This window comes from Homo sapiens, chromosome 15 (assembly GCF_000001405.40).
Source record: "Homo sapiens chromosome 15, GRCh38.p14 Primary Assembly".
NCBI classification, from domain to species: domain Eukaryota; kingdom Metazoa; phylum Chordata; class Mammalia; order Primates; family Hominidae; genus Homo; species Homo sapiens.
The window spans coordinates 88,611,820-88,634,109 of record NC_000015.10 but is presented as its reverse complement, the minus strand read 5'-3'; the positions used below and the strand labels follow the sequence as shown (position 1 = coordinate 88,634,109).

The 22,290-nt window shown below is 48.9% G+C and overlaps 1 protein-coding gene and 2 non-coding genes across 9 annotated transcripts in view, besides 8 other annotated features; 1 reads left to right on the top strand and 2 right to left on the bottom strand.

Annotated features, from left to right (window-relative positions):
- Positions 1–1,828: 1,828 nt before the first annotated feature.
- Positions 1,829–22,290, bottom strand: part of AEN (apoptosis enhancing nuclease) — a 27,599-nt gene continuing 7,137 nt past the window's right edge. For 3 of the 7 annotated variants that reach the window (XM_047432947.1, XM_017022489.2, XM_047432946.1), the window contains 3 exons: positions 7,361–7,964; positions 4,684–4,884; positions 1,829–4,052 (listed from right to left, as the gene is read on the bottom strand). In XM_047432947.1, coding sequence (XP_047288903.1) covers positions 3,816–4,052; positions 4,684–4,884; positions 7,361–7,900 — 978 coding nt within the window. In that variant the 5' untranslated portion in view covers positions 7,901–7,964 and the 3' untranslated portion in view covers positions 1,829–3,815. Of the gene's footprint in view, positions 4,056–4,683; positions 4,885–7,360; positions 7,965–12,446; positions 12,771–22,290 lie in introns of those variants that run through there. The other 4 variants (XM_047432945.1, XM_005254966.2, XM_006720645.4 and 1 more) reach the window with 4 other exon arrangements.
- Positions 6,574–6,633: an enhancer, noted in NCBI's record as "active region_10029". NCBI's record gives its function as "activates an Ori minimal core promoter by ATAC-STARR-seq in GM12878 lymphoblastoid cells {active_cell/tissue: GM12878}" and the evidence as "EXISTENCE:reporter gene assay evidence [ECO:0000049][PMID:35858748]".
- Positions 7,027–7,570: an enhancer, noted in NCBI's record as "H3K4me1 hESC enhancer chr15:89169771-89170314 (GRCh37/hg19 assembly coordinates)". NCBI's record gives its function as "activates a minimal SCP1, AML or CMV promoter by ChIP-STARR-seq in primed H9 embryonic stem cells {active_cell/tissue: H9 hESC(primed)}" and the evidence as "EXISTENCE:reporter gene assay evidence [ECO:0000049][PMID:30033119]".
- Positions 10,040–11,239: an enhancer, noted in NCBI's record as "CDK7 strongly-dependent group 2 enhancer chr15:89166102-89167301 (GRCh37/hg19 assembly coordinates)". NCBI's record gives its function as "activates an origin of replication core promoter dependent on BRD2, BRD4, P300/CBP, MED14 and CDK7 cofactors, with strong dependence on CDK7, by STARR-seq in HCT116 cells {active_cell/tissue: HCT116}" and the evidence as "EXISTENCE:reporter gene assay evidence [ECO:0000049][PMID:35650434]".
- Positions 12,215–12,888: an enhancer, noted in NCBI's record as "NANOG-H3K27ac-H3K4me1 hESC enhancer chr15:89164453-89165126 (GRCh37/hg19 assembly coordinates)". NCBI's record gives its function as "activates a minimal SCP1, AML or CMV promoter by ChIP-STARR-seq in primed H9 embryonic stem cells {active_cell/tissue: H9 hESC(primed)}" and the evidence as "EXISTENCE:reporter gene assay evidence [ECO:0000049][PMID:30033119]".
- Positions 12,516–12,705: a silencer, noted in NCBI's record as "silent region_6790". NCBI's record gives its function as "represses an Ori minimal core promoter by ATAC-STARR-seq in GM12878 lymphoblastoid cells {active_cell/tissue: GM12878}" and the evidence as "EXISTENCE:reporter gene assay evidence [ECO:0000049][PMID:35858748]".
- Positions 12,726–12,885: an enhancer, noted in NCBI's record as "active region_10028". NCBI's record gives its function as "activates an Ori minimal core promoter by ATAC-STARR-seq in GM12878 lymphoblastoid cells {active_cell/tissue: GM12878}" and the evidence as "EXISTENCE:reporter gene assay evidence [ECO:0000049][PMID:35858748]".
- Positions 12,889–13,562: an enhancer, noted in NCBI's record as "NANOG-H3K27ac-H3K4me1 hESC enhancer chr15:89163779-89164452 (GRCh37/hg19 assembly coordinates)". NCBI's record gives its function as "activates a minimal SCP1, AML or CMV promoter by ChIP-STARR-seq in primed H9 embryonic stem cells {active_cell/tissue: H9 hESC(primed)}" and the evidence as "EXISTENCE:reporter gene assay evidence [ECO:0000049][PMID:30033119]".
- Positions 20,392–21,076: an enhancer, noted in NCBI's record as "OCT4-NANOG hESC enhancer chr15:89156265-89156949 (GRCh37/hg19 assembly coordinates)". NCBI's record gives its function as "activates a minimal SCP1, AML or CMV promoter by ChIP-STARR-seq in naive H9 embryonic stem cells {active_cell/tissue: H9 hESC(naive)}" and the evidence as "EXISTENCE:reporter gene assay evidence [ECO:0000049][PMID:30033119]".
- MIR7-2 (microRNA 7-2) lies at positions 22,176–22,285 on the bottom strand. Its single transcript, NR_029606.1, has one exon. It is a non-coding gene; the product is annotated as a microRNA 7-2 (primary transcript).
- MIR3529 (microRNA 3529) lies at positions 22,186–22,263 on the top strand. The gene has a single exon (NR_039867.1). It is a non-coding gene; the product is annotated as a microRNA 3529 (primary transcript).

The following is a 22,290-nucleotide window of genomic DNA, read 5'->3' as shown; positions in this document are numbered from 1 at the left end:
ACTTGGAAGGCTGAGACAGGGGAATAGCTTGAACCCAGTAGGCAGATGTTGCAGTGAGCCAAGATCGCGCCATTGCACTCCAGCCTAGATGACAAGAGTGAGACTCTGTCTCAAAAAAAAAAAAAAAAAAAAAAAAAAAAAAATTACCATATAATCCAGCAATTCCCCTGCTGGGTATATATTCAAATAAATTGAAAGGAGGGTCTTGGAGAGGTATTTGTACACTTGGGAGCACTTTCAGCATGTTCATAGCTGCATTATTCACAACAGCCAAGGGGGGAAGTAACCTAAGTATTGTTGACTGACAGATGAATGGATAAACAAAGCATGGTATATACATACAAAAGATCATTCAGCCTTAAAAAGAAAATTCTAGCCAGGTGCAGTGGCTCACTCCTGTAATCCCAGCATGCTGGGAGGCCAAAGCAGGAGGATCACTTGAGGCCAGGAATTCAAGACCAGCCCGGGCAACATAATGAGACCCCGTCTCTAAAAAAAAAAATAAAAAAAATAGTTGCCAGGCATGGGGGCACATGCCTGTAGTCCCAGCTACTTAGGAGGCCGAGACAAGAGGATAACTTGAGCCCAGGAGTTTGAGTCCAGCCTGGGCAAGAGTCTCTTAAAAAATAAAATTCTGACACATGCCACAACATGGATGACGACACTGTGCTAAGTGAAATAAGCTCGTCACAAAGTGACAAATACTGTATGATTCCACCTGTATCAGCTATCTAGTCAAATTCATAGAAGTAGAAAGTAGAATGGTAGTTGCCAGGGGTTGAAAAAAGGGGGAAATTGCTGGGCGCGGTGGCTCACACTTGTAATCCCAGCACTTTGGGAGGCTGAGGCAGGGGGATCACCTGAGGTCGGGAGTTCGAGACCAGCCTGACCAACATGGAGAAACCCTGTCTCTACTAAAAATACAAAATTAGCCGGCCGTGGTGGCGCATGCCTGTAATCCCAGCTACTCGAGAGGCTGAGGCAGGAGAATTGCTTGAACTCGGCAAGTGGAGGTTGTGGTAAGCCAAGATCACGCCATTGCACTCCAGCCTGGGCAACAAGAGTGAAACTCTGTCTCAAGAAAAAAAAGGAATAAAAGAAAAAAGGGGGAAATGGAAAGTGTCAGTTTCACAAGATGAAAGAGTTCGAGATCTGTTGCACAGCAATGTGGATACAGACATAACACTATTGAACTGTACACTAAAAGTAGTTAACATAGTAAATTTTCTATGTGTATTCTACTACAATTAAAAACTTTTTTTAAGTGAGTACATAGCTTCAGGGAGAAACAAAAAAGTTAAAACAAATATGGCCAGGTGCGATGGCTCCTGTTTGTAATCCCAGCACTTTGGGAGACCGAGGTGAGTGGATTCCTTGAGTCCAGGAGTTTGAGACCAGCCTGGCTAACATGGTGAAACCCCGTCTCTACTAAAAATACCAAAAAAATTAGCTGGGCGGGGTGGCGCATGCCTGTCATCCCAGCTACTTGGGAGGCCAACGTGGGAGGATCTCCTGAGCCTGGGAAGTCGAGGCTGCAGTGAGCCATGATTGCACCCTGCACTCTAGCCCAGGCAACAGGAGTAAGACCCTGTCTCAAACAAAAAACAAAACACAAAACTTGTGCTCTGTAATAGGGCAATAAGAAATAAATTATCTAAATTCTGTAGCTCTGCTAGTTTCTTGCTGGAGCCCACTGCATCCTCTTGAAAACTGCCTTCTCGAAGTCCAAAGCACCCAGCAAGGCTTAGTGCCCCAGTCCCCCTCCCAAACCCCCAATGAGCCACCCTCCAATCCCAGCTTGAGAATTCACAGGAAGGGCCACTTCACCCACGTTTCCAATTGAGTTTTATTCTAGAACAAATGGTTTTACAACAAAGCTGATCTTAAATAGTACATTTCCCCGCTGATAACAGCACCATCTTCCTTCGACCCCCAGACCAAGGGATCAAAGCTACTGCTCAATTGAGTTTGACATCAGCTACCGACTTTTAAGGAATCTAGAACAAAGTTCTGGAGCCAGGCCAGAAGTGGTAAAAGATTCAGTTAGCCCCTTCCTCTGTGCTGTGCTGACAGGGAGGGAGCCAGTGACTGGACAATCTATGACCCCAAGTTTGTGGAACGTGGGGCTTCAGCTGAGGGTGGGGTAGTGTGATTTCAGCAGTGTCTGTACCTCCCTGACCCCTGCGCTGCTTTGCTCTGTTGTCACCTCCCGCACAGTGTCGGGACACTGACCGGAAGCCAAACCTGTGCCTGGTGGCCACAGACAAGACACACGGATATCCGTGAACCTTGCTGCTGTGCCCTCACCGAGGCCAGCGCCCCACCTGCTGGAACAGCCAAGCCGGAGCAGTTCTGTCTGGGCCACAGCTGCTCAGCCTGTGGACTCAGGTGTTATCCTGAAGAAGTTACAACAAATTCTCAAAGAATAAACAATGGGCTTAAAAAAAAAAAAGGGGGATAAACAGAAACTCACAGTAGCTGTGGCTCACCATGTGCCAGGCACTGTGCCAAGCACTTCACATTTAGTGCTCATTACAACCCTATGAGGTAGGCCGTACCACTATCCCCACTTTACAGATGAGGAAAAAACAGCCTCAAGAGTGAAGTCCCTCGCTTGCTTAGTATCTCAAAGCTAAGCTGCAAGCAAAGATGGGGCTCCAAGGTCTGTGTGACCTGAGCTCTTGGTTATCCAATACTTCAAAACTGTCACTTAGGAAAGAAGAGAACATTTTTAGAAATAGGAGAAAACCCAACAGCCACAGTGATTGTCAAAGAGCTGAGGGGGCATCAGACCAGGTTCGGGGGCACCAGACCAGGTTCAGGGCCACTGCGTAACTGCCAATGCCCTGCCCCAGCCCCAGGAGACACGCAGACTCCACTGCCCTAGACGAGTGGCCCTGCTGTTAATAAATAAATAAAGGTCAGGCACAATCCTACACAAAGGCCCCAGAATTCAAACCACTGTCTTGTTTCTCAGACTTTTGCTTAAGAGCCCAGTACTGGGTGGACTGGGGAAATCCCTGATTTGGGTCAAAATAAATATGCCAGTTCTCGTCCAAAGCTTACCTGCCTTCCCTCCTCCCTGAGCTGTGCCTGGGGCTTTCTGTTGCCAAGAAATGTTAAGGAGCCAACTCCCCACGAGAAGCCTGTGGGCTCTGCTATTCCACTGTAGCCTAGCAGGGAGCTGACAGGCCAGGCACGGAGTTCCTACAATGGCTGTAGCCAGAGTTCCAGGTCAGGGAGGTGGGGAAGAAATGCCTCCTTTAGGACTTAACTCCTCTTTAACTTCAGGACATGTTTATTCTGAACCCAAATGAGTGGAGGAAGAGGTAGGCAACAAAAGGAAGAGAACTTTACCCCCAAGTCATTGAGTTGGGGTAAGGGAGCTCCAGGATATTGACACCCCCACCCACCATCCCCAGAGAGGATGATATGATCCCTTTCATTAGCACAGCATGATGACTCAGGAGATCTGGGGGGTGGGGAAGGCCACGGCAACCTGGGCAGTCTGTTGGCACATTCCCTACTCCTGCTGGGCCCTAGAAGATGGTCCACCTGACATCTCCATGGAGTCTGTAAAGTGCCATTAGCAAAACCACAGGAGTCAGAAGAAAGAACCAACAGCCCTGGAGAGAGAGAGGGCTATGCTGTGTGCAGAGGGTGTCAAGGTAACAGATGACCCCTACTCCTCTGGCCCTGGGGCTGGCTCACTGCATCCTGCCCCACCCTGCCCAGGAAGGAGTGCCCGCTGCTCTCCTGGCCCCCACTTCCTACCGGCCACACCGGAAGCCCAGCCAGGGAGCCCCGCCCCCTTCTCAATTCCTTCTGTCCTGTGCCTCCCTGGCTCCTCCTCTGCTGCCGTGGGCCAGGTCATCGGGCCAGTACTGGTCCTCCATGTACTGTTCCATGTCTGTGCTGCTGTCAGGTTCTCTGTCCTCGGGGCAGGTCCAGAGGCTGCGGGCCTCCTGCTGTTCCCACTGCACCTCCACCAGCCGGTAGAGCTCCATGGCTGTCGTGGCATCTTCTACTGATGAGTGCCCGTGCTGGCCCACCTACTGACGAGAGCCAACACATCACTGCCTGCAGGCCTAGTGAGAGGCCTGTTACCCCAAGAAGCAAGGCCAGTTTCCCAGGGCTCTTTGTGCAGGCCCAAGAATACGTATGCTCAGAATGGAGGTTCACAGAAAAGGGATGGAACCTCAACTGTACACCATAAGCCATGCAGCTTCTCCAAGCCTGTTTTCCTCAAATATAAGGCATGCTAAAAATCTCTTGCTTCAAAGGCTTGCAGATCAGATGAATAATAAATGTGAAGCCCAACAGGAGCAAGAGGTACTGGCTCCTCCTGATCTAAGGCTCTATGTCTGCTAGTAGGGGATGGGAGACCATGCTTCAGGGATGCAAGAACCAAGAGTTAGGGAGGGGACAGATCTGGAAGAGATCGGCCTAGGAGAATGTGTTCTGGGAGAATCGCAGTACACACTGGGGAAGAAGGATCATGGAGAGAAACACCTGGAGCTGCGTGTACAGGAGGGAGACCCATTTAAGCAAGGTCCCTGGACCTGGACTAGGGAAGAGAATGACAAGGAGGCTGGAGACACAGCCCAAAGCCTTGTCTGTGGCTCAGGTGGCATGGAGGCCAGGCGGGCCTCCCTCCCTTCCAGCCACTCTCCCACCACGCACCTGGATCTTCTTGTGCAGCAGCTGCAGGGCCAGGTCCTTTAGAGAGACCCGGGCCCGGGTGTGGAGGCCGGGCTCGCTGAGGAAGTTTGGGACATAGGTCGTATCCCGGGTCTGGCTCCGAGGGTGGACATACTTGAGCGCCTGGAAGTCGTTGTGCAGCGCGTGCCCCACCACCACCTTGCCCTTCAGGAGCTTAAGGATCTGTGAGCAGAAAGAGGAGTCAGGGAGGTCACCCCACACCCCATCAGGTTGGCAGGAGACACGCCCTGAGAACCCCTGGCCAATAGATGCATGGATCCCTGTGGGGGGAGGCAGCACCGAGTGGGGAGATCACGAGCTCCACAGTCAACCATGCTGCCCCAAGTCTGAACCCAGACCCTTCTACTGTCTATACCCAGGGGCATACCTATGTCTTCTGCACCTGTCAAAGGGAAACACTGCCAGCAGCATTCCGTGGGGTGGCTCTAAGGACTAAACGAGGTCATGGATGGAAGTCTTCCTGTTACCAGATACAAGCAACTCTATTGCTGGTGTTGGCTCTCCTCTCAGCCTGGAAGACGTCACCAGGCCTCCCACTCCACCCAACTCTCCCCCACCGCACTGTAAGGTCTGTGAGTGCAGGGACCATGTTGGACTTCTTAGTGATGCTCCAAGGAAAGCGTCACATTTATTCTTTTTTTTTAATGCCTATCTTTTTCCTGTAGTAGAAAGCATTACATTTATTGATTATTTACTTATCACAGGAGGTGATCAATAAAGACCAGCTGGGTGAAGTCAACAGAACCGTGCCTGTCACTGGTAGACACACCATAGCAGCAGCTCTTATGAGCATTAAGGGCCATAATCCCTGTCTTCAGGACTCTGCCCCCTTGCCCTGCTGTGTACCAACTCCTCCTCATCCTCTTAACCTGCTCTCTTGCTCAGCTCTGGCTGCCTGCACAATGTGTACCTCCCTTCCCTGCTGGGTGGCCCTCCTCATACACCAGGGAGGCCACGCCCAGGGCCATGGGCCAGCAACCCCCTCTAGCCCTCTTAGCTGGGCTTGGGCTCTCCTTATCACCAGCTGCGGGCCTCCACAGCCTACCTCTGCTGGCAACATATGTTTATCCCCAAACCCAGCTTTCATGGCAGATGGATAAGATGCATTGAGACTTTATAGTAGGGACATGCCACCATGCTGGTCACTCACCACACTGCCCCTCCCCCCAAGTCAGCCATGAAGTGGAAAGAGATGAAGCACAACCCACAGTGGCTCGGAGTCTGGGCAGACAAAAAGTGGTCCTGCTCTTGGGACCACCACCAACCAGGTCAATGGAAGGGACCAAGGAGCTGGAGGGTTCACCACACACCTCCCCTCTTGTTGCTACTCTTACTGATTGGCCTGCTTGATACATAAAATAACCTCCGATCATTTCAAAGGAATGCTCGGGCCACAATGTTATGTGAAAAAGTAGGACACGAGATAGTGTACACCAGTATTTCCCAACCTTGCCTAATCCCAAGAATAACCCAGAAGTGTTAAAAAGTGGTTCTGTTACAAGGCTTGTTTAGAAAATGCAGATTTGTCTCAATGCAATTGATGTATGACACATTTTGAGAACAATGCAAATTTCACCTTTGCTTGTGCATAATTTCATCCTTGAGAAACACTGAATGAACGCAGAAAACTGCATCCAACTGAACTAAGCCAAGAGGGCATACACAATATGCACACAGCCCAAACATCTCCCAGCAACCCTAGTTCACCTGTGTGATGAGCCACACCCATCCACAGCTGGTGTCACACTTCCTGTCTGACTTCAAAGAACTCTCCTTCAACCACTTCACAGAAACTCAAGCTGCAACCTTTCTGACTCCTCTTTCCACAAGCAAGTTCAGGTCTTTTTCAAGGTAAAGTGCCATACTTATTGGTGTATTGTGCATTTCTTAACCATTTAAGATGTGTGGAATAAAAAAAAAAAAAAAAAGAAACAAGATGCGTAAAACTGGACTACCTTTTTATTAGGTTTCTATCTTATTTTTGGGGTGTCACTGATGGCCTTTTTAATACTGTTCCCTTTCTCCATTTCCCCTTAAGCCCTGTGGCTTTATGGTGCAAGTCTACACAGTGTGATGATTTTTTGGAACATGGGTCAGAGCCCTCCCCAAGCCTAATGGATCAGGAACTCTATGGAGGGAACTGGGGACAAGGATCCTAGATTGTTAAAAAGGACTTAGGTGTTTCTAAGGTCAAGCATGTTTGGGAATTCCTGGTGCATCAGTGTGGTCCCAACCACTAATTAATTTTTTCTAAGCACTAAGAAACTAACATAAGGAAATATGCCAAAACATCCATACCTGAACGTGATGCCACTGTGGGCTTTACAAATTTTATATCAATGCGTACAACTTTTATAACAGAAAGCAAACTCTAAAATGTAAGCTATTTATCACCTTACAGTTGGTGTAGCCTTTCTACATTGTCCTGTGCAACAGGCCAGCAATCCTTATCTGGAGGCAAGGTCAGGATTTTATTTTTATTTCCCCTGTTCTATGGAGAAGGAACCTACTGTTTGGAGCAGTTAGGTGACTTTCCCAAGGTTTCTTGCCCCCAGTGAAGCAAAGTGGTGATTCAAACCCAGGGTGGCTCTTTCCAGCCCACCACACCTCCCAAACAAGTCCCCATCCCTGCCCTTACCTCTTTCTGGGCCACCTGGAAGGGGACAGCCTTGCGCATGTGCTGCCGAGTGATGCCACTCCAGCGGGTACGGTAGTCAGCGATGGGCATCTCAGGCCTGATGTACTTGTCATAGAGGACATTGCCATGGTAGCTCACAATGGAACAGCGGGCCAGCTCGCTTACCCGCCCTCGGGGTCCCGTGCCCACCATCTCACAGTCGATAGCCACACACTTGCTGGGCAAGGGCCCTGAGGCTTTCCCGGGAGCAGGCCTTCTGCTGCATGGGGCACTGCCAGATCCAGCCCTCAGACACTGCTTCCCACTGCTGGCAGCTTCAGTTGCTGTCGCTGCCCCGAAAGGGGTGGGCAGTGGGGAGGACCCTGGTTCTGGAGGCATGCTCAGCAGCCCCTGCTCCTGCAGCAAGGCCTTCCGGGCCATGAACCGCTGGTGCTGTCGGCTCCTTCTCTTGTGCCTCTTCCGAAGCACATCCTTGGCATTTGGGATGGTGAGGGAAGGGCACAGGCACTGAGCAGACTCAGGGGCCTCCCGGGGTACCATTCCAGTCAGCTCACTGCTTGGGGCAAGGGAAGCCTGGGGAGTAATCTTCCAATGGGGCAGCAGCCTGAAGAGAGAACACACAGGCAGAGGGGCTGGGTGAGAGTGTGCCAGGCAGCCCACCCACCCTCCCTCCCTCCCTGCAGTGCACCACGGTGGGGATGCCCGAGAGCCCTGCACCGTAGCTCGTGGCTCCCAGATTGAGTTGAGGACCCATTTCACTAATAAAAGCATTCATACTGTAAACACAGGTGAATCACTGTTGTAAATACTACATGGAATCACTCAGTCTGCTCAATGACCTGAACAAAGTATTATCATCTTCATTTTACAGGTAAGAAACTGAGGCACAGAGGTGAAGAAACTTGCCCCATTAGTAAAAGCCAAAGGCTGGTAGGAACCCAGAATCCACACCCTCAACCTCAAACCATGGCTGAGTCCAATATTGTTAGCAGTGGACTTTTTTTCTGCTGTGATTTTTAGCTAAGAAGCATCAGACTTTGACAGAGGTATGGTTATAGGAAAATAAAGGTTATAGAAACTGTATAGCCTTTTTTAAGAAATACTTTTTTGAAATATGAAGGCACAGATCCTCAGCACAACCTGGAGAAAGAATTTCATAGGAAGCCCGCAGTAACTGAATAGTTGTATTTTTTTGTAATATGATAACCAACTGTAATTTATTTATTTAATTAATTTATTTATTTTGAGATAAGTTCTTGCTCTGTCACCCAGGCTGAAGTGCAGTGGCGTGATCACAGCTCACTGCAGGGCTCAAGTGATCCTCCCACCTCAGCCTCCTGGGTAGCTGGGACTACAGGTACACACAACCACACCTGGCTACTTTTTTTGTATTTTTAGTAGAGATGGGGTTTCATCATGTTGCCCTGCTGGTCTTAAACTGGGCTCAAGTGATCCGCCCACTTCGGCCTCCCAAAGTACTGGGATTATAAGTATGAGCCACCGTGTCCAGCCTTTAAGTGTAATTTCTTTACCTGACGTTGTAATTCATTAATCGCCACAGCATCTAGAAACATTTAAAAGTCCTGATCTGAAGTGCTTGCAGATTTCTGTGATGGGCTCCCACCCAGCGGACTTTAAGCCCTCGTCACTGAATGCTAGGATAAGAGGTGCTGTCGTTCATTGCTGCTACAGGAAATGTCTGATGTTCATGTGAGTTTGCAAAACCCAGCATCTTCCCAACAGCTGAGGCCATAACTTGGAAAGCCTGTCTCATTTGTTATGCCAAGTCAGTCAGTACATTTTTAACAGATCAAACAAACTAGGGCTTTGAAGTCAGGCAGAGCAGGGTTTAACTTGGCATTTTTTGAGGCGGAGTTTCGTTCTCGTTACCCAGGCTAGAGTGCAGTGCCGTGATCTCGGCTCACTGCAACCTCCGCCTCCCGGCTTCAAGCGATTCTCCTGCCTCAGCCTCCTGTGTAGCTGGATTACAGGCATGCACCACCACGCCTGGCTAATTTTTGTATTTTTAATAGAGGTGGCGTTTTGCCATGTTGGACAGGCTGGTCTCAAACTCCTGACCTCAGGTGATCCACCTGCCTTGGCCTCCGAAAGTGCTGGGATTACAGGCGTGGGCCACCATATTCGGCCTAACTCAGCTCTTTGTAAATGACCTAAACTGCTAAGTTTCAGTTTTCAGGCATGTAAAATGATCCTACCACCCCCTCTACTGTGTGAAGAGGAAACGACACAATGTATGCTGGGGTCTTCCTGTATTCTGAACAGTAGGGGCTCAATAACCACTGCTCCTTCTCCCAGAGAGGTTAGACTCTAGCCCGTGGTTGGCAGCCAGCTCTTCTCAGGCCAGAGCAGCCTCCGCCTGGACTCACTGCCCTTTCCCAAGCCACAGCCTCCCTTCCCACTCACAGCCCTCCTGCTCTTTCAGACTCAGCTACTGTTCCGCCACCACCCAGAAGCCCTTCTGGAAGAAACTCTGTCCCACTGGGTTGCACAGGCCAATGCCATACTGAGGCTCTCTCGGGTCTCCACTGTGCCAGATGCTGGGCGGCTGCACAGGTGGATCCTGGACTCCAAGAAGTTTAGTTTCATGGTGGAGACAGAAACCAAGCATAAAGTGTGTTAAGGGCTGAAGCAGAGGTGCTAGGGAGGCAAAACAGGCTGGAGGACAATTCTCTGGAGGCTTCCTGGAAGAGGCTACATCTGTGTGCATGTACAACAGTAACCTTCCAGGTAGAAGGGAGAAGAATCAGTGGCCATGTTAGGGGCAAAGGCCTTAAAAAGGACTAACCCAGGGTGGAGGAAGAGGGCCCACCAGCAGCCTCAAGTCACTGGGGTGTAGAGCATAAGGCGGGTCATGCTGGAGGCACTGCTCCTCGCTCCTCTCTCCTTTGCACCATTTCATCTTCTGTTTCCTACTCTGGTGGCCCTTCCACAAGCCACCCCTACCGCAATCTGGTGTCCCCTGAATTGGTCTCTACTGGCCAAGTGAGTGGGGGAGCCCCAGAGGCACCTATGGAGGTCACTGAAATATCCCACAGTAGCCCTGACTCAGGACACTAAGTCTAGCTGGGGAGCAAAGAAATTCATCCCTCTGTGCTGAGCTCTTATAGCACAATTTGAGAATTATTACACCCTTCAAAGTCCATTGGTACACACAGTCTACCTCAGAGCTGTAAGAAGGCAGGTTAGAGCCTTGATTGTACCTTCCCCAACAGCCAGCCTAGAAGCTAGCATGTGGCAGGTCCTCTTCAGAAGGGTGTAGAAAGAGGTCTGGAGAAGATGAAAACCTGAGCAGTAGCAGCAGAGATTAAGAGAAATGGGAAGGGGATGGGAGGTGAGGTGAAATGCCAGGTTTGATGATGCCAGCATTTGCATAAAGAATCCCCACACTCTAGGGCAGGGCACCGCATCCTGACTTGACTCATCCAGACCTGACCCATCCTGACTCATCCACCCTGCTTGCTCATCCCATCCTTTCCAGGAGAAAAGGTCTCTCTTTTAAAAAGGTCTTAACTGTAACCAACTTCCTCATATTGACAGTCACATCTTAGAACTGACAAATTCAGAACCTTAATCTGCCTCAGCCCAGCAATGGGAGAAAAAAGCCTAAGAAGCCCAATGCCCACCCTGCTAATAACTAATTTGGGAAAGGGGGCTGGCGGATAGTCCCCTCCTTTCTCTGTGAGGGGCTGAGGCTAGGAGTAGGGTGGGTGGCTTTCCTGATCCTACTGGCAAGGTTTTAAAGAAGCCAGAAATTAAGTTATCTGAGAAAAGGTCTCTGTAGCCTCCTATTTCAAGAGAGGAAAGTAGTCCTTTTCCAAACACCCTGACCTTGCTTAAGAGAAGAGAGAAAGAGACCTCCCCCTCATATTGTTCTGTATTATTTTATACTCAGTACCTGTTTTAAGAAGAAACAAGGAAGCAAAACCAAAGGCAGGCAGCCCGGCGCCACGCACCAGACCCAAAACCAGACCCAAAACCAGGCCTGGGCCTGCCTGACCTTAGCCTGATAGTTAAAATTAAACCCATGACCTAGCAACCGATGTTATCCATAGATTTCAGACATTGTATAGAAGGACACTGTGAAATCTCTTGTTCTGTTCTGTTCTGTTTCACTCTGACTACCGGTGCATGCAGTCCCTGTCACATACCCCCTAGATTGCTCAATCAATCATGGCCCTTTCTTGTAAAATCTTTAGTGTTGTGAGTCCTTAAAAGGGACAGAAACTGTGCACTCAACAAGCTCGGATTTTGAGATGCTAGTCTGCCGATGCTTCCAGCTGATTAAAAGCCAATTCCTTCACTACCTCTGTGGGGTTTTGTCCGCGGCTCCTCCTGCTACATGCTGACACGTCAAAACCAACAGTCATCAAGGACACACCTCTTTGGGGACCCAAATGTAGCTCAGTGAAGCTGGAGAGAAGTTCCGCTCAGATAAAACAACCCTTTCAACAAGGACAAACACAAGCCTTTCTCTAGCCTGGACCCAGCGCTCTGGGGGTCAGACACCCGGCCTTCAGGCAGGGAGGGGGTCTGGCCTAAAGAAAGGGTCCCAGCTGCAGAGTCAATGGAGCAAAGGCCCCAAAGGAACCAAGAAGTCAGAATCCTCGGTGGCATGAGAGCCACCAACCTGCTGGCTGATCAAGAGGGCAGAGGGCAGTTCTAGACCCTCCTCTGGCACTAAGTAGCTAGATGATCTGGGGCAAGTCACGTCTCTTCACCATCAACCGAGGGCTGTGAATTAGATAAGGGCTTCCCAAATGTAGTTAATTACCATATGACATCTGATGAAAGGCTGATTTTCAGGCCCACTCCCACACCGTCCTAATTGCTATTTTGGGGAAAGGGGCCTGAGAATCTAGATTTTTAAAAAGAGCGCGGACGACCCCTACCCTCAAGCCACAATTCTGATAATCGCCCAAACCTGAAAAAACCTGGCTCGATAAGGTCCCCTGTGCTGCTAAAAAGTCCACGGAACAACGACAACAACTAAAGTCTGCTATCCTGGCACGACCTCCCCGCCGGCTGGCGTTCTCCCAGGCGTGACGCGTGGGAGGCCTGATCTCACCGGGAAGGACTCGGGCGTTGGTCACTTGCTGGCCGCGGCAGCTGGGCCGAGTCCCAACGACCAGCGCCGCCCCCTCTGGCCCTGGACCCCCGAGCAGAGCGAGGGCTGGAGACAGGCGGCGCCCGGCCTGCTTTTCTGCGGGCCGGTAGGGCAGGGTCAGCCCAGTTCAGGCGTCCCCGCCGCAGGCCGGGGCGGAAACAACGCGCGGGGACCTGCGACCCGGGACACGCGGCCTCAGCCCGCCCGACCCCGCCGCCCCGGTGCAGGGTCCTGGATCTCACCTGAAGCCCCGCGTGTCTCTTCCGGTCTGCACGTGGCGTCCGGAAAGCCGGCAGCTCCCACATGCCCGGGCAAGCCCGGCTCCGACTGCCCGCCTATTGGCTCGCTGGACGGCAGCGCCCGCCCAAGACCTCTTCTGATTGGTCGAGCCTGCCTGGCAGCGGGGAGGCGGGCGAGAGCAGAAGGGGAGGGACTCCTGAAGAGGGCGTAACTCGTGCTGCGAGCCGGCCATACTGGCGGGAAATTTTAAAGAGAAGGGAAGGGAGACTGACCTCCTGTCGTCCCTGCCCGGTCCCATCAGTGTTCCCCGGCTCCAATCCACTCCTCTACCTGGGTCGGGATGTGGGCTCCTGTAAGCCTGGTACCACCAAAGGCCGAATGACTTACTGAGTACACCCACATCTGCAGATTGGGAACATCGGCCCTTACCTCCTCGGGTGTTCTGGGATTCAAGGAAATAATATACACAGTAGGCACTAAAGAGAGACTTTGAAAGTCAGGTTTCCTCCGTCAGCGCTGCTTTTTCATTTATTCTTTTGCAACACTTGACTCCTAAGTATTAAGTTCCTACGTGGGCTTGGCAGTGGGATGCACACAATAAACACATAAGCATCCTGAGTTGTTTATCTAACAGCAGGGAAACAGCAAGGTTAACAGAAAATTCAGTGCAACATGAGGCCGGGGCGCGGTGGCTCACGACTGTAATCCCAGCACTTTGGGAGGCCGAGGCAGGTGATCACCTGAAGTCAGGAGTTTGAGACCAGCCTGACCAACATGAAACCCCATCTCTCCAAAAATACAAAAATTAGCCGGGCGTTGACGGGAGCCTGTAATCCCAGCTACTCGGGAGGCTGAGGCAGGAGAATCGCTTGAGCCCAGAAGGCGGAGGTTGCAGTGAGCCGAGATCGCGCCATTGCACTCCATCCAGCCTGGGCACCAAGAGCAAAACTCCGTCTCAAAAAAAAAGAAAGAAAGAAAGAAAGAAAATTCAGTGTAACATGAGTAATAACAAGAACAATAATAAACAGTTCACACGTATTATGTGAGCACGAATGATGTGCCAGGCAAAATACTCAGTTAATTTGTACAATGACCTTACTATTATTTCAGTTTTACAGTTAAGGAAATTGACACTTAAATTAAGGAGAAACACCTAGAATCCAAAGATCCTTACCTAAGCAGTCTGACTTCTCTTAGTTCACATTTTGCAAGCAGAAGTGATTTGGAAACGTACCTGTGATGAGAAATAAGCTAGGAGCTCTTTCTGATGGGAGTACAAATTTGAGGGAAGCAGGACAAGGGATGAGGTCACAAGAGAGATCAATCCTTTTACCCAGGCCCCTGAAGGCTTTGGGGAGGCAGAGGGATTTAAGCCATAGATAGTTTACCAGTGAATCTGCATTTGAAAAAACTTGTTCTGGCTGCAGCATAGAGAGGAATGGATGAGGACTGGAGAAAGGAGTGGGGGAGTGTTTGTGGAAATTTGGAAGATCATGATGTCCAGAGTGGTGTGGAGGATAAAGAGCTCCCCACCTAAGTAGCATTTGAAATGACAGATTCAAATGCTACTTAGGAGGCAGCGTTGATCAGAGAGCAGAGGGGAAGGGGTTATAGGACAGCGGTCTTCAGGCATGGGGACTGTGGGAGGTAAATCTGGGGCAAGGAGAGTTTTTTTTGTTTTGTTTGTTTTTGTTTTTGAGATGGAGTCTCACTCTGTCACCCAGGCTGGAATGCAGTGGCACAATCTCGGCTCACTGCAACATGTGCCTCCCGGGTTCAAGTAATTTTCCTGCCTCAGCCTCAGGAACAGCTGGGATTACAGGCACGTGCCACCATGCCCAGCTAATTTTTGTATTTTTAGTAGAGATGGGGTTTCACCATGTTGGTCAGGCTGGTCTCGAACTCCCGACCTCGTGATCCACCCACCTTGGCCTCTCAAAGTGCTGGGATTACAGGCGTGAGCCACCACACCCAACCAAGGAGAGTTTTAAGAGAGTCAATATCCAGATCCTCTGCTTCCATGGTGCTGGGCCTCAGAATATGCCTGGGGTCTTTGGGGTTCAGCTTCCCTCTCCTCATGTGTAACCAGCTGTCTCCCACTTTTCAAAGGCAATTCACACTGCACCTGTTCTAAATCTTGCTCTGCTGCATTACCTTGGGAAATAAAAGTCTCCAGGAGAAACAATAGGGCAATTCTAAATAATGTATTAATTATTGTTGAGGACGGGGCAAGAAATCCTTCTACAAGTCAGGTGGTTTCTCATTCTTTGCTTTCACCAAGATCCAAGGAGGATCTAATCATGTTGTTAGGTCATTAAAAACATTTTCTTGAGACCAAGGCTGGAGGACTGCTTGAGGCCAGGAGTTTGAGACCAGCATGGGCAACATAGCAAGATCCTGTCTTCACAAAAATAAATAAATGTGGAGGTGTGTGCCTACAGTCCCAACTACTGGGGAGGCTGAAGTGGGAGGATCCCTTGAGTCCAGGAGTTAGAGGTTACAGTGAGCTATGATTGAGCCACTGCACTCCAGCCTGGGTGACAGAGCCAGACAGACCCTGTCTCCAGTAAACAAATAAATGAATAAATAAATAAATACATGAGTATAGATAATTATCAGGAATTTAAAAGAAGTGGGAGAATTGCCAGACTAAAACCCTTCCCATTTCTCTATGGTTTTAATGTAAACAATGTTTATCAGGCTTACAACTATAAAATCAAAACAACAGACTCACCTCTGTCTCATTCTTACAAAAAGTGATACTCATCTCTGGACTCACAAATTTATGGAAAAATAACTGGCTCAATCCATCTCCTTCAAAGATATATTTTCCATGACATTTTAATGAAGATTAATTAACTTGTATGTTTAAAGATTCTCTCATATAATGAAATGCTATGCATGTATTTTAATCATATGTACTACTAATAATTACAACAACATTTCAATCTAGAAGGAAAAAAAATTAACCCTTAGAACCTCATGGTCACAGAAAATTTTTTAGAGTTAACAAGTTCAAATTTATCTGCATAATTGTGTGACAGAAATGTACAATAGGGTGCTTCATAAAATATTACCAAGCATGAAAATATATTATGCTTGGATAAAACTCCGTAGCAGAAGCTGAAGAAGAAAAAAAGAATGTTGCATATTATGTCAAATAAAAAAACAGACCCAGATTTGATAAAGAGAGATTTTATTTAAAAGGATGATTTTGGGGTGGGGTGAGGGTGGTAAGACTCTGTAAACAGGGAGAACACTCAGGCCATAAATCTACAAACTCTCAAGGGGTAGGCAAAAAGGGATTTTCTTTTATAGGAAGGAGTAAACCAGTCTAGAAAGAACCTGGTGTAGGTAAGTGGGATGAACGAGAGTGACAGGGTGGGGCAGTAGATCAGAGATTGCTTTATCCTGAGGCCAGCCTGTTCTCAAGGGGGCTGTTACAGAGGGATTTCATGCTGGTTTAGGCTGAGGGTGGGCCAAAATTCAGAGGCCTTGGGGAAGGACAAAAGCTTAACCAAAGTTTCATTAATGAGCATTTTTTTCCAGCTGATCAATGGGCCAAGCATTTCAGCTAGTCACTTATGAGGCAAATGGGAATTGGGGCTATCTGTATCCGGTCTAGTAACAGGGTATAGTGGGGAATCGCCATAGAGGGGAATCCATGAGTTTTATCTCAGTCATTGCAGTGAGCCATTTCCAGAACCCGAGAGACGGGGTTGAGGTGGGGTTAGGGGGTAAGGGGTTAATCATTGCTGTTCTCTAGGAGCACAGTGCTTAGGTAAAACTCAACATTGTCATAAATAGTTTTTTCATGTACTTTAAAAATGAAGGCCGGGCGCTGTGGCTCACGCCTGTAATTCCAACACTTTGGGAGGCCAAGGCGGGTGAATCACCTGAGGTCTCAAGTTTGAGACCAGCCTGGCCAACATGGTGAAATCCTGTCTCTACTAAAACACAAAAATTACCTAGGTATGGTCGTGGGCACCTATAATCCCAGCTACTCAGGAGGCTGAGGCATGAGAATCTCCTGCACCCCGGAGATAGAGGTTGCAGCGAGCCAAGATTGCACCACTGCCCTCCAGCCTGGGCAACAGTGCAAGACTCTGTCTCAATAAATAAATAAAGAAGCTAGGCAAGGTGGCACATGCCTGTAGTCCCAGCTACTTTGGAGGCTGAGGTGGGAGGATCACTTGAGAAGGGCAGGAGTTTGAGACCACAGTGCACTATGATTGTGTTACCCTCCAGCCTGGGCAACATAGTGAGACCCCACCTCTACAAAAAATAAATAAATGAAAATGAATAATATTTGTATCAAATCATTATGATATTTAGACTCCATTGCGTTCATTTAATGACGTCTTTTTAAGATGTCCATATTAACAGATGCTCTGTGACTTAACAATGAGGCCATGTCCGGATAAACCCACTATAATTCACAAGTTGAAAATGCACTTAATACATCTAACCTACCAAACGTCTATAGCTTAGCCTGACATACCTTAGATGTACTTACAACATTTACATTGGCCTACAGTTGGGCAAAATCATCTAACACAAATGTTATAATAAAGTACTGAACATGTCACATAATTTATTCACGACTGTACTGAAAATAAAAAACAGAATGTATGGACACTTGAAGTAAGGTTTCTACTAAATGTGTATTGCTTTTGCACTATTGTAAAGTTGAAAAATGTTAAATTGAGCCATTGTAGGTCAGGGACCATCTATACTTACATTTATCATAAAAAAATTGCTAAGTAAAAAAACTTGATGTCCCAGGTATTCAGTAAGGGTGGTCTCACACTGTCATCTTGACTGTGGATGGTAATACCCATACCCCTTCTTTCTTAGGGAAACCACTAAACTCACCCTCCAACTTCTGCTAGCTGTGTGACTTTTGGCAAGGCTCTTGACCTTGCTGAACCAAGTCAGCCCTTCCCTTCTACCCAGAGGCTGCCCCTGGATTGAATAAAAATATTCCCTCCTAGGCCAGGTGCGGTGGCTCACGCCTGTAATCCCAACACTTTGGGAAGCAGAGGCTGGTGGATCACAAGTTCAGAAGTTGAAGACCACCCTGACCAACACGGTGAAACTCCATCTCTACTAAAAATACAAAAATTAGACGGGCATGGTGACACTTGCCTGTAATCCTAGCTACTCAGAAGGCTGAGGAAGGAGAATCATTTGAACCCGGGAGGCAGAGGTTGCAGTGAGCCGAGATGGCGCCACTGCACTTCAGCCTGGATGACAGAGCAAGGCTCCATCTTGAAGAAAAAAAAACAAAAAACGCCTCCTTCCACAAAGACGAGGGCTCCTTTATAACAGAGCTTGTTTAGGCTGGGGCCTGGTGGGGAAAAACCCATGATCCAAGCTCTGACTTCAAGGACCCCATCATTTCCCCCTCCGCATTTTCAATCTGAAAACACTTGAGACAGGACTTGACCTGTTTTGCATTTACAAATCATTATGCTACAGTCAGAGTGCCATTCTGCCTGCCCTGTGTACTCATTCTGAGGACTTTTTGGGGGTACTGTGGGGATCCCCATGGTGCTGGGCCAGGTGCAGACTTGAAAGAGAGTGTTGATCTGCTCAATTTTTAGAGCAATTGTTCTCCACGTGTCGTCCTAGCCCAGCAGCATGGGCATTTACCTGGGAGTTTGTTGGACCTACTGAATCAGAAAATCAGGCTGTGGGGCCCAGAAAGTCAGGGGATGAGGCCCAGAAAGTCAAGGGGTAGGATTAAGAAAATTAGGGGGTGGGGCCCAGCATTTTAACAAGCTGATGAAATAGCTAATCCTGAGGCATGCCGAAGTTTAGGATCCATTGTGTTGGAGAGTATGAAGCTGACGACATTCCCAGTGCTAAATGTGAATAAGGTACTTGTTTTATGCACGCAGCTCCCCGCCTCTTAGCTCTCTTGATCCAGCAGCAGCTGGACTTTGGACCTACCAGGACACAGCCTGGCACCAAGACAATTAAGGTACCTTTGTACCCTCCCCCAACTCCTGAGAATGTCCGGGATTCTCAGGCCCAGGCTAAGTGTCACACGGCTAATTTTTTAATGGAAGACTGGAGGGATTTGATCGAGGGGAGTTTTATTCTCTGCCGTTCCTTGCTCCATTCTAGACTAGAGTTCCCTCACATATAAAATTAATCCTTCATTCAGTGGTCCCCAGCCTTGACTCAACATGCTGAACTTGAAAAAACACAGACGAGGCCGGGCGCGGTGGCTCACGCCTGTAATCCCAGCACTTTGGGAGGCCGAGGTGGGCGGATCACGAGGTCAGCAGATCGAGACCATCTGGCTAGCACAGTGAAACCCTTTCTCTACTAAAAATACAAAAAAATTTGGCCGGGCGTGGTGGCGGGCGCCTGTAGTCCCAGCTGTTCGGGAGGCTGAGGCGGTAGAATGGCGTGAACCCGAGATCGCGCCACTGCACTCCAGCCTGGGCGACAGAGCGAGACTCCATCTCACAAAACAAAACAAAACAACAACAACAACAACAACAAAAAAGCACCACAGACGCTTGGGTCACACCCCACCCCAAGATTCTGATTTAACTGGTCTGGGGTGGGGCCTGAACAGGAAGGTTTTTAAATCTCCCCAGGTGTTAGTAGTTTGTCGCTGAGACTGACAATTGCCGCTAAAGTGGAGTTACCTAAAGCTTCCAGCAGAGGACGCTGCCTCTCTGCTCATCCAGGGAAACGTGAGCCGGGAAACCTGACAGCTGCAGTTGCGATGGGTGGGGCTGGAAATCAGGCTGTTTCGTAAACCCGGTTGATGCAGTTAAGGCGACGGGCCAGATGCCGTGACCCTTGTATCGCCGAGGTTTTTGTGTTGAGACTCCAATAAAGTTACCTTAAAAAGTAGTAAGTTAGGGCCAGGCGCTGTGACTTACGCTGTAATTTCAGCATTTGGGGAAGCCAAGGTGGTAGGATCACCTGAGCCCAGGAGTTTAAGACCAGCCTGAGCAACACAGGGAGACTCCGTCTCTACAAAAAATACTGTAATTAGCCAGGGTGTGGTGGTGGGTGTCTGTAGTCTCATCTGATCGGGAGGCTGAGGGAGGAGAATTGCTTGAGCCCAGGAGGTTGGGGTTGCATTGAGCCGAGATCACACCACTGCACTCTAGACTGGGTGACAAAGCCAGACCCCATTTCAATAAATAAATAAATAAATAAAAACAGTAGTAAATTGTCTATTTTGCTGAGTGACCAAGAGATAAGTCACAACCTCTGCAGGCCCTGATTTCAGCATTTTTAAAGTGGGGAGGGACTTGGTCTATATTCATTCTTTCAATATATATTGAGTCCCCTGAAATGGGCAAGATACTGATCTGGAAGGGGAAGGATACATATTTAAATAGGATTAAATTCCTACATGATAGGGGAGACTAATAGAAAGATGGTGGTTTCCATTTTTTCCTATTTCAGGATGGCAGATTTGTGGGTGCACAAGGCTGGTGAAGAGGACAACCATGAAAACTATGAAAGAAAAGGCAGAAGAGACCAATATTGGGTATATACCCATGCTATTTTATATTATGACACTTCACTTGCCTACTTATCGTAATAACCTAGCAAGGTAGATGTGATCAATTCTGTTTCACAGTTGAGGAATCTGAGACTCAGAGATGTTAAGTGACTGACTCAAAGTCACACAGCTCGTAAGCAGTGGAGCCAAGATTGAAACTGGCACATGTTTGACTTCAGAGCCAGGACTCCCCCCACCACTTAACAAAGGCTGTCATATCCATCCCTCAAATCAGGAATGCACCCCACATCCCCCCCCGAGATGCTTGTTTCACTGAGACACAATCTCTCCCCGTTCCATCTCCAAACCAGCCCCAGAGGCTGAGGGCTGCCCAGGAGAGACTCAACTCCCCTCCTCTCCTGTTCTCCAGCTCTGCCCTTCCTGCCCAATCTGGGCTTCTCTCCCGCTGTGAAGGACAGATACCTGCTGAGTGACACCAATTTGCAGACTTCTGAAGTGTAAATGAGATTTCTAATAGGACTGGCTTCCCACTGGCTTCAGGCAGGGTTAGGAGTAAAGGGAAATTTAAGACTGGAAGTGCAGAAGAAGAGAGCCAGTTTGTAGGATAGGGAGCAGCAGAAGCAGAGGCAGCCAAAGTCTCTGGGTAGAAGTGAAGGGCTGACTTGGTTCAGAGAGGTCAAGTGCCTTGCCAGAGGTCACACAGCTAGCAACCGGAAGAGGTAGAATGAGCTCAGCTAATGGTTGCATTTTTAGCATTCCCTAAATGAGTACGATCCCCAACCCCCAACTTTAGTTTGTAATATGCTTTAGTCTCCTCTGCTGTATGGATGGAGGAGGGTGGGAATATACTTAGGAATAGGGAGGGCATTTGGATTTGTTGCTTGAAAATTAATCTCCACTGAAAGTGTCATCACTGTAACTTGGTGCTCACCTTAGGGCAAGGTACCCCCCAGGCAGAGGGATCCCAGGCAGAAAGGCTGGGAGGCCAGGCAAGGTGGCTGATGCCTATACTCCCAGCACTTTGGGAGACCGAGGTGGGCAGATCCCCTGACGTCACGAGTTCGAGACCAGCCTGACCAACATAGCAAACCCCTCTCTCTACCAAAAATACAAAAAATTAGCTGAGTTGGTGGCATTCACCTGTAATCCCAGCTAGTCGGGAGGCTGAGGCACAAGAATCACTTGAACCCAGGAGGTGGAGGTTGCAGTGAGTCAGGACTGTACCACTGCACTCCAGCCTGGGACAGAGTGAGACTCTGTCTCAAAAATAAATAAATAAATAAATAAATAAATAAATAAATAAATAAATAAAAGGCTGGGAAATGCTTTTTCTGATCACTAATTCTAATTGTATTCCTGCCACAGTGGGGGATGGTCCCCAAGCACTGGGCTTTTTTCCCTTGGCCACACCTCTGGATGTAGCAGCACAGAGGCAGGTACTGGGACCAAGAAATTCCATACACACAAGTCCACTCCCTCAGCTGTGGAGCAGGCACCAGACAAGCTCCGAGGTCAGGTGTGTCCCCCCTGCTGCCAGGTACACTGAACATCCGGGAACCTCGGTCTCCAGTGCATACCTCTCGGTGCCCGCATACACTGTGGCTGTCGGGCCACAGACAATGAGGCCCTGAGCCCCAGGATGTGGAGTCACAAGGTGCCTCCATTATAGGTGCCCCAAAGTGATTGTTGGGGGAATTAGTAATTAAGGAGGGTTTTTCTCCCCCTGCCCTTCAGGTAGTGGTATGGAAGCAGTCCACTGCTCCCTGAAAACAGAGACCCTGCCCCACTTCCCTGCTCACACCATAGTTTGTCCATGTTTCTGGAAGAGTCTGCCGATGGGTGTTTAGGGTGGTGACCTGAGATGTTTTCTAGGAAACACAAAAGATACAAAAAAGAACACGTGGAAGGATAGCCAAAAAGGGGGGCTGCCCCCATTTCCTGCACCCCGCTGCGATGGCTGGCACCATTAGGTAGACTGGGATTTGTTGTTGAGCGCAGTAAGACAACAACAAAATCACTAGTCTTCCAGATGGGGCCAGCCGGTCCACTCTGTATCCAGGCCAG